The 13,781-nt window shown below is 40.1% G+C and overlaps 1 annotated feature.

Moving 5' to 3' along the window:
* Window positions 3,468-3,587: an enhancer, noted in NCBI's record as "active region_2211". NCBI's record gives its function as "activates an Ori minimal core promoter by ATAC-STARR-seq in GM12878 lymphoblastoid cells {active_cell/tissue: GM12878}" and the evidence as "EXISTENCE:reporter gene assay evidence [ECO:0000049][PMID:35858748]".

Below are 13,781 nucleotides of genomic sequence, written 5' to 3'. Positions count from 1 at the left end.
TCCAAGGCTTGATTCTCTTCTACTCTGCCCAGGATTCAAACAAATTACACAAATATTCTTCTCTCTCAAAACTCAGAGTCTCCAGCTACAGCTAAGGTTTCAGTTCACAGAGACGGTATTTAGAATTTTCCCTTCTAGTCGCTGGTGCCTTGTGGAGGCTGAGGTCCTGTCCCTGAGTCCCATCTTTGTTGTGCAATTCACCACGGTCCTGCAGGAACAAGGAACAGGGCCCTACAAAATAAAGTCTTGAAGGAAGATTTCATTTTAGTGCAGATTGCTATAGTTTATTATATGTTAAAAGTTGGAACAGATGTTTTCATCTAGCATCATTTTGGGACAGTGATAATAGCAATACAAACACATAAGTAATGCTTACTATTTGCCAGTCGCTGTTGTAAATCCATTATCTCATTAAACTTTTAATCTTTAAAACAACTTTATGAATTAGGTGTACTGTTAATTTCCCCATTTTACAGACAAGAAAACACAGGCATGCGAAAGTCAGGTAACATGCTCAAAGTCACACTGCTAGTAAGTTGCAAAGCCAAGGTTCAAAACCAGGCCATATGACTCCACAATCCATTAGCTCTTTGTTACGTCAGATTAAAAAGTACCATAAAAAACAAAGACAAATTCACAACACTGAATGAATTCAACATGCAATCAAAAGTTATTTATCAATGACCATTATAACCTAGCCAGATTGTAGACTATTGGCCTACATCGATAAATTCAAGTCACAAAAGACTCTGAACAAATATTTCTAATTTTTCCCAAGATGTTAGTTCTGGAAGGACTGCCAGAGGTCATCTGGACCAGGGGCAGCAAATGGGCACAGGCCCCTGGGCACCAGACCCACCAGCAGCCTCTTTTATGTGAACAGTGCAGGATTTAAAACATATTTTTAAAATGTAAACGCCTTAAGGCAGGCACTCCCCAACTTTTCTCAGTTCCCACCTCTTCACATTGCCTTATTCTGGGCTTCTCCACACATCCAAACAACTGTCTGGCTCAGGCTTGACGCCCCTGCTCTGGCCTCATCCCTTACCTTGCTCAGGGACAATATCGACCCCTTTTACCAATCTGAGAATTCTTCTCTAGTGCATTCCTGAGGTTAAGAGAGTTCTAGTGGCCAAAAGTTGAGGCTTAGGCAGGTTCCCAGGGCCAAATCCTGGCTTCTATTCATCAAAGCAGTTACTTTGCTTTCTGTGATCCTTAGTTTCTTAATCTATAAAATGGAGATAATATTAAAACACTTACCTAGTAGGGTTATTAGAGTTAATGAATTATCTAGGGCTCAGAACAGCACCAGGCACATAATATGTACTATACAGATATAGCCATAATAAGAACAATAATTATTGTTTTAAAAATTATTATTATCTCTGAGTGAGCACTAATCATTTTTCTGTTGTTAAAATTACTAACAAACACCATATGAGAAAGATGAAATTTTTGCTTCAATCCATCTAATTAATTATTGAATCATTATTTTACAATTTTGTGGAACTCTTGGCCTAATCCAGGTTCATGCCCGTATTACCAATAATTACTTGGATGCTATTAATTATTTCATATTTTTGCTGCATATCTGGAAATTTCCTTCACATACAGATTTTCTTACCAAATGTTTCAATTTTTTTTTTTTTTTTTTGAGATGGAGTCTCACTCTGTCACCTAGGCCGAAGTGCAGTGGCACAGTCTCAGCTCACTGCAACCTCCACCTCCTGGGTTCAACCGATTCTCCTGCCTAAGCCTTCTGAGTAGCTGGGATTGGTGGCAGGTGCCACCATACGTGGCTAATTTTTGTGTTTTTTAATAGAGATGGGATTTCACCATGTTAGCCAGGCTGGTCTTGGACTCCTGACCTCAAGTGATCCTCCCGCCTCAGCCTCCCAAAGTGCTGGGATTACAGGCCTGAACCACTGTGCCCAGCCTGTTTCAAAATTTGTGAAACAGAGCAAGACTCTGTCTCAAAAAAAAAAAAATTGTGAATTTAAAACTTCACTTTCAGACAGGTAGGGATCTTACATTTCAAGGAAAAGGTAAAGGTAAAGATTTAAATGTATTCTTAGGATTACCTTTAATTAACACATGGCTTTTCAAAAAAGCAAAAACAAAAATCTATTTGCTTTTCCATATGGCCCAAATAAATATATATTTTTTCAAATCCAGACAAAAGTCAACTTAATACTACTCAGTAACAAAAAGGAATAAACTACTGATACATACACAGCATGGGTGAATCTCAAAGCATTGTGCTAAAACAAGCCAGGCACAAGAGCCCAGATACTACGTGATTCCATTTAAATGAATTCTAGAAAAGGTAAAACTACAAAGCAAGAAAGCAGATCAGTGGTTGCCAGGGACAGGGACTGACTGCAATGGGCCATGAGGATACTTCTGGAGGATGAAAGAAATATTACTGTGGTCAAAAGTAATCAATTGCTGGTGAGGCTCAGTGGCTCACACCTGTAATCCAGCACTTTGGAGGCTGAGGTGAGCAGATCACCTGAGGTTAGGAGTTTGAGACCAGCCTGGCCAACATGGTAAAATCCCATCTCTACTAAAAATACAAAAATTAGCCGGGACTGGTGGTGCACACCTGTAATCCCTGCTACTTGGGAGGCTGAGGCAGGAGAATCGTTTGAATCCGGGAGGCGGAGGTTGCAGTGAGCCGAGATCATGCCACTGCATTCTAGCCTGAGCGACAGAAAGAGACTCTGTATCAAAAAAAAAAAAAGAAAGAAAAAAGGCCAGGTGTGGTGGCTCACACCTGTAATCCCAGCACTTTGGGAGGCTGAGGCGCATGGATCACGAGGTCAGGAGATCGAGACCAACCTGGCTAACACGGTGAAACCCCGTCTCTACTAAAAAAAAAATACAAAAAAATTAGCCAGCCATGGTGGCAGGCGCCTGTAGTCCCAGCTACTTGGGAGGCTGAGGCAGGAGAATGCCATGAACCCAGGAGGCGGAACTTGCAGTGAGCCGAGATCGATCGTGCCACTGCACTCCAGCCTGGCCGACAGAGCGAGACTCTGTCTCCAAAAGAAAAAAAAACACAAAAAAAAACTCTATTGTACACTTAAAATTGGATTGTATACAAAATGTCTCAATAAACTGATATAAAAAAGAGAAAATCTCAAAAGAATATATTTCATAATTCAGATACTTTAATTCAAATGTGCAACCTCAAAGCAACCACTGGAAACATACCAGTGTTTGCATAAGTTGTGTGATAAAACCAGGCCTGACAAAACCATCTCTGCTGGTTTGGATCAGCACTAAGTGGCCAGCTCAGACCTTTGGGCAGAGACATCACCCAAGCATTGCAGGAGGAGCCCTCTTCTGGAAACCTGTTTTGGCAATTTACAAAAAGTAAAAGATGCTTTTTGAAATGTTTGCATAGGAGCATGAATTTTAAACCCATCTCAGACTTTTGTTCTAGAAAGTGAGCGCTTGAATTTTCATCTGATCCTCCCCAAATTTGTCCATTTAGAGTGTAACTCCTTGTGTTGGTGAGGATAATGCTCTACGTAGAAGTTCTCCAACCACAGAGCGGAAAAGGACTGGGGCATTCCCACCGGGTGTGGCCAGGAAGGCTGAGGCCCTGGAAGTCCCCTTTGTTCATTGTTGCTTTTGCAGCTCACAGTCATCACCCAGGGGACTTTTCTTTCTACAGTGCTGTATAAATCATTTCACAGAATGGTCATCTCCCCACCCAACCCCCCAAATAGAATTATAAGTAACATGTTGATTTTTCCCTTGAGTTCCATCATTACCTTAGTTTACTTTCAGAAGGAATGTCTGGCATGTCATCCTCTTTCAAACTCACTTATGATAAAAACTGAAGTACTGGCTGTTAACATGCCAGCAATGGACAGGGCTGTTGGTCCCAGTTCCCTGCCTTTTAAAAAATCTCCCCAGATAGTTCTAATTATGTCAGCATTCACATTACAATTTTAAATGTAAAATATAGCAATCAGGAAAAAAAAATTTTTTTAACTCCCCTTTGTTCTTAATTGGTAAAGGAAAATGTCCATAAATGGAAATGGTTCAGTGTTTCCTGGATCGTCTGGGTAAATTCTCTGAGGCTGGCCAGACTCCAGAAAACAATGTTCTCTGAAGCAAAACCCTGGCTGAAGTGGCAAGCTTCCATTTTATGCAGAAACATATGTGGTGTGCCCACAGCTAGTTTTCAGGGAGCGGTAGAGGCCAGACCAGAACTGAAGTAATGCCGTTTATTTATTAAAGGGACATGATCCTTTTTCTGTGGTTGGCTGATGGTACACCTGGGCCAGAGATGTGGTGGGAAATCAACACATGAAGAAGAACTTCATTTGCATCTTTTTTGGTGTAGCTATTATAGACAGAAATATTCAAATCAATTAATAGTTAAACAATACAAAAAAATGAGGCTGGATGTGGTGGCTGACGCTTGTAATCTCAGCACTTTGGGAGGCCAAGGTGGGTGGATCAGTTGAGATCAGGAGTTTGAGACCAGCCTGGCCAACACAATGAAACTCCGTCTCTACTAAAAATAAAAAAATAAAAAATAAATAACCCAGGCGTGGTGGCATGCACCTGTAGTCCCATCTACCTGGGAGGCTAAGGCAGGAGAATCACTTGAACCTAGGAGGCAGAGGTTACAGTGAGCCGAGATCACGCCACTACACTCCAACCTGGGCGACAGAGCGAGACTCCATCTCAGACAAAAAAAAAAAAAAAAATTGGGAAGGAGCACAGAGAAGAGGGGCATAAGCTGATAGAAAGCAAAATAGACACAGAAAAAAATCAGAACAAAACAGAGGACAAAAGATTCTGAGAGAGGGACATTTAGTAGATTTCAAGGCTGTGTCAGTTGTTGTGTTCCCTTAAACTGAAATTTGGGCATCCGTGCATCTGTGAAATGTTGATTAGTAGATGAAACATTGCCCATGGTTCCTCAACCATGCTTATGCTTGGACCATAGATATTCGAATTTGAATGAGAGGCAAAGGAGACCACTGCAGTGAAAATCTTGTCTCCATTGCAGTGGTGGGGGCCAGGGCTGTATCACATGCAGCCTTGACAAGATAAACTAGAAATGAGAGGTGGCTACCCTTAGATCAGAGATCCTACCTTTGCCTTTGTAAGGAAGAAATGAATTCAGGAAACAGTGTTTCTAAATGTATTTCTAAATTTAAATCTGAATTTTTCCACCTTTAATAATTTAAATTACAAAGTCTGAAAAACTCTATAGCATTTAGAAACCTGTCCTCTGCCTTTAAATGGGAAACTTTGGGTGTGTTTTCAATGTCTGATAATAATCTTGACAATTACAATACTAATAGCCAAACTGTAGTGAATATTCTGCATACGCCCAGCTCAGTGATGAGAGCCTTTATAGGGATTATGGAGTTCACTGTTCACCACCATCCCATGAAGCAGGTGTTATTATTATCCTCATTTTGAGGTTACCCAGGCTCCCACACAAATCCACACCGATACCTCTCTCTAGAATTATTATTCAACTACAATATAAAAACAAATTAAGCCACTCACTGAACAAATACGCTCTATAATTTAAAAAATCTTTCATAAAATATGACATGCCTGTTCCTTATAACATACACTGTATGTTCTATAGTCACCCCTCTGCAGCAGGTAAGCAATAAACAAGGTTTGGCTATTAGGGGTGCATTTTCCTTGTCATATTACCTTTGTTATTCTTCAGCATATGACAGCTTCGATTCTTATGCAACATCCTTTTATGTCATCCAATCAGATCTTGCATGGTTTTCTGTTGGTCTGATACCTTAATCCAGATATAAGAGTACGTTATTAAGTAATTCGATTCTTGAACGCCTTAGAACAACTGGAAGTTATTTTCGGCATAGTGATAATAGTCTGAGCTTGTGCAAGAGCTCAAGAATTTAGTAGCTATATCTCCGAACTCAGCTTTTCTAGGGCTGGGTTACACAGAAATCCCCAAACATTCCTGGGTGGTTCTTTTGCAGGAAACTTGCAGATTGGTTATTCCACTGCGCTCTAATGATGGAGAGAGCTACAAATAATCACAGAAAAATCTAGAGACCTTCCTCACTAACCTAAAAATTTCTCATAGTCTCAATATGTTTATTTAGATTAAGTAGGAAAATTAATTCAGTGATTCAGACAACTTAAACCAAAATGACACATTTGCCTCACCACCTGGCTGTTTTAGGTGAATTTATTTTAGGCCTGAATTATTTGGACAACTATTTCAGTGCTCTGTTTTTTATTATATGAATACAAAGTAAAACAAGGTTTAATTGTCATTGCTTTATCAAATTAACTAATGCCTTTGCTATTTTCTTTTCTCAGGGTCCTCTATTAATACAACCCTTATAATTTACTTCGAAAATTTCAGCTTAAGCAGAATATGGCTAAGTGGTTTTGCAACAAAATTGTTTATATGGAATTGAATACATCTATGTGCCTCAGGTAAACATAAAGTGGTGTGAAAGGAAAATAAATCATGGGACCCCCAAATCACTAAGCCAAAGGGAAGAGTCAAGCTGGGGACTGCATTACACAAACCTGCCTCCCATTTTGTTTCTAAATAAGATAGTTACAAAGATAAAAAAGCTACACACCTCTCTCACAATTTGCCCACTAGGAAATTCCTTGTGGGCCCCAAGATCAAGTTCTGTTGAATTTCACCCTGACAAGGTAAACTGATAGCTTATCTTTATGGGTACGGGACAAAGGACAGAACTTAAAGTTATCCCTCTACTCACCTGAGACAAATGTATATCTGATCACTTCCTCTGCCCTGTATTTTATCTTATGTAAAAATGCTGATTCGCTGAGCTAAAGGAATACATAAGTGACTATTCCTTTACCCACCCTTACATGTGAATGGCTAATCGAAGACTCAAAAGAATGCAACCGTTGGCCTCTTATCTATATACACCTTCAAAACATTCCTTCCTTTTTTCCTAATATCCGCCCTTTCCCCTTTAAATATTGAAGTTCTCAAAATCATTTTTGGAGAAAGGCATAGGTCTGTCTTCCAGGTGTAAGATGCCCTTAACTTTGGCTTCTAAACTTCTAAATTGATTGAGATTTGTCTAAGATACTTTTTGGTTTACAGTGGATTACACTTATGCTAAAAATTCTACACACACATGGATATGTATTACTTGAACTCTAGGTAGAAAATCTCCTTTTAAGAAAGATTTTGGGGGCTTTGGTTGATTCGGTTTTTTTGAGATGGAGTCTCACTCTGTTGCCCAGGCTGGAGTGCAGTGGTGTGATCTCGGCTTAGCTGGGACTACAGGTGCCCGCCACCACGTCCGGCTAATGTTTTGTATTTTTAGTAGAGATGGAGTTTCCCCGTGTTAGCCAGGGTGGTCTCGATCTCCTGATCTCAGGTGATGCGCCTGCCTCGGCCTCCCAAAGTGCTGGGATTACAGGCGTGAGCCACCGCGCCTAGCCAGTTGATTTGGTTTTTAGATTTTAATCTTGCACTCTCTCTCTCTCTCTCTCTCTCTCTCTATATATATATATATATATATATTTTTTTTTTTTTTTTTTTTGAGTTGGAGTCTTGCTCTGTCACCTAGGCTGGAGTGCAGTGGCGTGATCTCGGCTCACTGTAACCTCCGCCTCCCAGGTTCAAGCGATTCTTCTGCCTCAGCCTCCTGAGTAGCTGAGACTACAGGCGTGTGTGTCCAGCTAATTTTTTGTATTTTTAGTAGAGACGCGGTTTCACCATATTTGCCAGGATAATCTCGATCTCTGGACCTCATGATCTGCCCGCCTTGGCCTCCCAAAGTTCTGGGATTACAGGTGTGAGCCAACGCACCCAGCCTATTATCTTTTAAAAGGGGTGGGGCAGGGGGCGGCAATTCTAAATCTTTGGACCGTTTGAGGCCTGATGTAAAACCCATGTTAGAAGAAACTGTCTCATTGTTATCTGCGTGTTAATCTTTCTTGCTGGAAATTTCTGAAGAATTTTTATTAACTTGATAAATACATTTATTTTAATAAATATTATTTTAATGAACTTCCTCTTAGAACCAGATCTTGTCTAATCAGTCAACCACATTGTTGATTTTTCTTCTGGAATACAGACAGAGCTGAAACAGTGATAACAGAAAATGCCATGTTGATTCAGACCAATGTACCCTTACACCGAACCAAGCTGTATCTGACAGAAGCACCAGTGGATGTTTTGGGAGTGGGTTGCTCTCATTACACCAACTTCAGTGTTTAGGAAAACAGTCTAAAAGATCCTCATATTTTCTAATTCACATGCTATGGAATTATCATCCACAAATTTAACCAACTCTTTTAAATATTTTTAAAATATATTTTCTAGGTGTTGTTGGTCTGATAAATAAAATCAACTTTTATTATATTATTAATACAAGGACCTCACAATTGTTACTGGTTTTAGTGCTTTAGGATTTGCTAATCCTTTTTTCCAATCTCTTAAGGTTTTGTTAACTTTATCTATATGTTTCTTTGCCTTTCTGGCTGAAAAATCCTTTTAGACTCTTCTAGTAGCCTGTCCTGGCGATGATTTTTGTTTACTTTCCTTAGGAAGTTTCTAAGCTTTCCCATGTGTCTTGACAAAGAAAGATCAGATTGTAAAAATTTCTCACATTTGAATACACTTGTATACTGGGGCATAACTCTTTCTGATGGGGGTTGGGGGGAGTTCCAGACAGGTCACCTAGTATGATTAAGCCCAGTGCTGGCACCTGGCACAGGACAGTTCAGAGAGTGGGATTGGCAGAGCACTGAAATTCAGCACAGAGTTTCCCTTGCCATGCCATGCACCCTGGCACAGGCCTGCGTGCATCTAGAGGAAGGAAAACTTTTCTCTAATTGCTCTGCTTAGAGAGGCTCTCTTAACTTAATTTAATTTTTTATTTTTGTGGGTCCATACTAGGTATATATATTTATGAGGTACATGAGATACTTTGATACAGGCATGCAATGCGTAATAATCATGTCCTGGAAAATGAGGTATCCATCCCCTTAAACATTTGTCCTTTGTGTTACAAACAATTCAGTTATACTCTTTTATTTTTATTTTTTAATTTATTATTATTATTATTATTTTTTGAGACAAAGTCTTGCTCTGTCACCAGGCTGGAGTGCAGTGGTGTGATCTCAGCTCACTGCAACCTCCACCTCCTGGGTTCAAGGGATTCTCCTGCCTCAGCCTCCCAAGTAGCTGGGACTACAGGCGTGTGTCACCACACCAGGCTAATTTTTTGTATTTTTAGTAGAGATGGGGTTTCACCTTGTTGGCCAGGATGGTCTCGATCTCTTGACCTCATGATCCGCCCACCTCAGCCTCCCAAAGTCCTGGGATTACAGGTGTGAGGCACCACACCCGGCCACAGCTTTTTTTTTGTTTTTTTTTTTGTATCCATTAAACCTCCCCACTTTTCCTCCACCTCCTGCTACCCTTCCCAGCCTCTGGTAACCAATCTTCCACTCCCTATCTCCATGAGTTCAATTGTTTTGATTTTTAGCTCCTACAAATAAGTGAGAACGTGCGAAGTTTGCCTTTCTGTGCCTGGCTGATTTCACTTAACATATGACCTCCAGTTTCATCCATGTTGTTGTAGATGACAGGATCTCATTCTTTTTTATAGCTGAATAGTACTCCATTGTGTATATGTGCCACATTCTCTTTATCCATTCATTTGTTGATGAACACTTAGGTTGCTTCCAAATCTTGGCTATTGTGAACAGTGCTGCAAAAAACATGGGAGTGCAGATATTTCTTTGAAATACTGATTTCCTTTATTTCGGGGTATATATCTAGCAGTAGGATTTCTGGGTCATATGGTAGCTGTATTTTTAGTTTTTTGAGAAGCCCAAGAAGCACCTTTTTGCTAGCCTTCTGCCTGGAGGGGTCACATTTTCTATTTGCACCAAAGTGTCTGCTGAGCTTGCCATGGCCCTCCTCCTCAGCCATCAGCAGCAAATGAAAACCAAAGGATCAGTCTACATGACTTCTTGGTATGAAGCTGATAATTCAGATCCCATCATTTAATAATTCTAATTTGGATTGTTTTTAATATAATAAGACCAGTTTTCATTGAATTTCATATTTCACCTTTCTGCTTACTCCAGTTTTTATGACCTTTTCCAAAAGGTTTCTTTTTCTCTGCACTGATTTCATATTCAGCATCAACTTCAGTGAAATACCATCTGGAAGATTAAACCATGTATTACGTGTTCTAGGTAATTTGCAGTCATTGTAGAAAACATTGCTTACTATACCAATCTTTGGGGGATATCTCTTCCAGCACATTTTCCTCCATCCAAAAAAACAACCGCCTTTTTTCTCTAAGCAGTTCCGTATGTATAGCAAAATACTACCTCTAGTTCTGGGGTACTTAAAATTTTTAAATAATTTCTGGTGTGGAATCTTAGTAACTTTTTTGAATGTCTAAACAAATGACTGTTGTTCTATCTTATATGTAAATTTATTTATGCTCCCAAAGAGCCATTCTAGTGTGATCCTGTCTCCAGGAAACCATGCTTCCGTTTCCAGAGTAAGTTGCTTGCCTATGTTTATGAGAGATTCTATCAGCCTAACTCCCTATCTGTATAGCGGAGTTAGACAGATTCTCAGGCAGCTCTATCCAGTGAAAATTTCTGCAATGATGCAAATGTTCTATATTTTTGCTCCATAATAGGGTAGCCACCAGCCACATGTGTAATGTGAGTGAGGAGCTGAATTTTTAATTAATTAAATTTTAATTTTAATAGCCACTTGTGGCTAGTGACTACTGTATTGGACACTACAGGTCCAAGGCCTTCTCTGGAACCCTTTTCATGAATGGACATCACACTAGTCCCTCCTTCACAGTGATTGCTTGTAACAAAATACTGCTTCTTCTTGTCAGCAGTCCCACAGTTTCTCCCCCAAGTTCTTGTGAAATTATCTTACGTGTTACATAAATTCTTCTGACCCTGAATTTTCACTAGCAAATATTACAGGGTTTGTTTGTTTTTTTTAAATAGGGTCTCGCTCTGTCATCCAGGCTGGAGTGCAGTGGAGTGATCACAGCTCACTGTAGCCTCAGCCTCCTAGTTTTAGGTGATTCTCCCTCCTCAGCCTCCCAGATAGCTGGAACTACAGGTGCACGCCGCCACACCCAGCTAATTTTTGTATTTTTTGTAGAGATGAGGTTTCGCTATGTTGCCCAGGGTAGTCTCAAACTTCTAAGCTCAAGTGATCTGCCCACCTCGGCCTCCCAAAAGTGGTGGGAATACAGGTGTGAGTCACCGTGCTCAGCCAAATATCAGTTTTACGTTAATAAACCCCCGTAAACTAGATGCCTAGAACTTGGGAGTAAGTCCTTTGCTCTTTTAGTTTTACCTTCATGAGACTGACATTTGGAAAGTTGTGCATATTTTTGTTTCCACAATTGCAGGGCATTCACACTTGTCTAGGAAAGTTGTGCATATTTTTGTTTCCACAATTGCAGGGCATTCACACTTGTCTAGGAAAGTTGCTATATTTGAAGGGCATCCTGTGAAAAATGAAATGATTACAGTTTGTAAAATGTGTATCAGAAAAATGTGTTTAAATTTGCTTTCTAGTACATTCTTGAAAACTTAGTTATTATAATCATCTACAAATGGAATTTACCTACAAAAATGATCATCACAATTGCAGGTTTCGAAAGTATATAATCTTTTTAAAGAAAATAATATGATACAGGAAAGAGAAAAAAGTGCTTATAACCTGCCTTTTTTGGTGACTGTAGGCTAAATTATTTATATTAAAATTCTTTATAGTAAATTCTTTATATTAAAGTCTAACAGTAAAGTATTTTGCTGTGCTCATTCTTTTATTTCTTTGTCCAATGAATTTCTTGGATTATCTGCTATAAGCCAGCATTGTGGTAGACATTTGATAAATAATACAGTGCCACCCTACATAATCTATGGAAAAGGATGATAAGTCCTAGGCAAGAAGGGAACCAAAGGAAAAAATATGATTATGAGGTACAGTTTCAAGGCTTTTCCTGATAGAGTAAGTTTCATTGCAAGAGAACAATGAATTAACCACTTCAATCTTTCTTTCTTTTTTCTTTTCTTAAGACAGGGTCTCATTCTATCAGCCAAGCTGGAGTGCAGTAGCATGATCTCTGTTTACTGCAGCCTCAAACTTCCAGACTCAAGCAATCCTCCCACCTCAGCATCCCAGGCAGCTGGCACTACAGGCGCACACCATGAAGCCCAACTAATTTTTTAATTTTTTGTAGAGATGGGGTTTCACCATGTTGCGCAGGCTGGTCTCAAACTCCTGTGCTCAAGCAATCCACATGCCTTGGCCTCCCAAAGTGCTGGGATTACAGGCATGAGCCATTGTTTCCAGCCCCACTTTGATCTTTCTAATAAATGACTACTCAACTGTTAAGACTATAAATCAGCTTGATGAATAGTAAGGGATCTTAAATATTACTGTCTTTGGTATGCTGGGGACAGTTGGGCTTGTCAGAGAGTCCGTAGGCTGGGGACTCTTTCAATGGTACCCATTTTCTCATCTTCCTCAGAATAAAACCCAAAGTCATTCTGTGTCCTCTCAGGTCATATGTGATATGCCCTGCCCCACCTTTCCAACTCATCCTCTGCAGTTCTCTCTCCTCATCCTATCTGCTCCAGCCACTCTGGTCCCTCTGCTGTTTTCCAGACAATGAAGCAAACTCCACCTCCAAGCTCATCCCCACCTGAGGGTGCCTACAATCACATGCCACCTCCCACTCCTGCTTAGTTAGCCTCTATTCCTTTCCTTTGCTTTATGTTTTTTCTTATTACTTATCACCTCCTAACATAAGATTCATTATTTATTATTTGTCTCCCCCTATAGAATGTAAGTTTCATGATGGCAGGGACTTTGCATTATAGCAAGGCATGGAACAGTGCCTGCCTCTTAATAAGCCCTCAGTAATATCTTTTTGAATGAATAAATGATACATGTTTTGTACTTATTTTACAAGGTTGAATCACTCACCTTTCTATATCTAAGTTTAAACATTAGTATGAAGAGAGAAGTTATAACTTATTAAATTACCCCTTAAGGCTAGGCACGGTGGGTCACACCTGTAATCCCAGCACTTTGGGAGGCCGTGGTGGGCAGATCACCTGAGGTTGGAGTTTGAGACCAGCCTGGCCAACATGGTGAAACCCTGTCTCTACTAAAAGTACAAAAATTAGCCAGGTGTGGTGGCACACGCCTGTAATTCCAGCTACTTGGGAGGCTGAGGCAGGAGAATCACTTGAACCCAGGGGGCGGAGGTTGCAGTGAGCTGAGATCATGCCACTTCACTCCAGCCTAGGCAAAAGAGTGAGACTCCATCTCAAAAAAAAAAAAAAAAAGAGGGAGAGAATGTTAGGAAGATAATTAATGTTATTCAGATTTGACCTGCTGGAGGACAAACCATTCTAAAACTCAATTTTTTTATTTTATTGAAATAATCCCAAACCATACATTCATACAACTAAAATTAATATATAAGAGAATGGCATACAACTATAATAGAAATTGTGTAAGAACCAGTGAACCTCAAAATGAGATAATGCTGCCGGGCACAGTGGCTCACGCCTGTAATTCTAGCACTTTGGGAGGACTAAGCGGGTGGAACACCTGAAGTCAGGAGTTTGAGACCCACCTGGCCAACATGGTGAAACCCCGTTTCTACTAAAAATACAAAAATTAGCTGGGCATGGTGCACATGCCTGTGGTTGCAGCTACTCAGGAGGCTGAGGCAGGAGAA

The sequence above is a fragment of the Homo sapiens genome, chromosome 1, assembly GCF_000001405.40.
Source record: "Homo sapiens chromosome 1, GRCh38.p14 Primary Assembly".
Lineage (NCBI taxonomy): Eukaryota > Metazoa > Chordata > Mammalia > Primates > Hominidae > Homo > Homo sapiens.
This window is presented reverse-complemented; position numbering and strand designations above follow the sequence as displayed.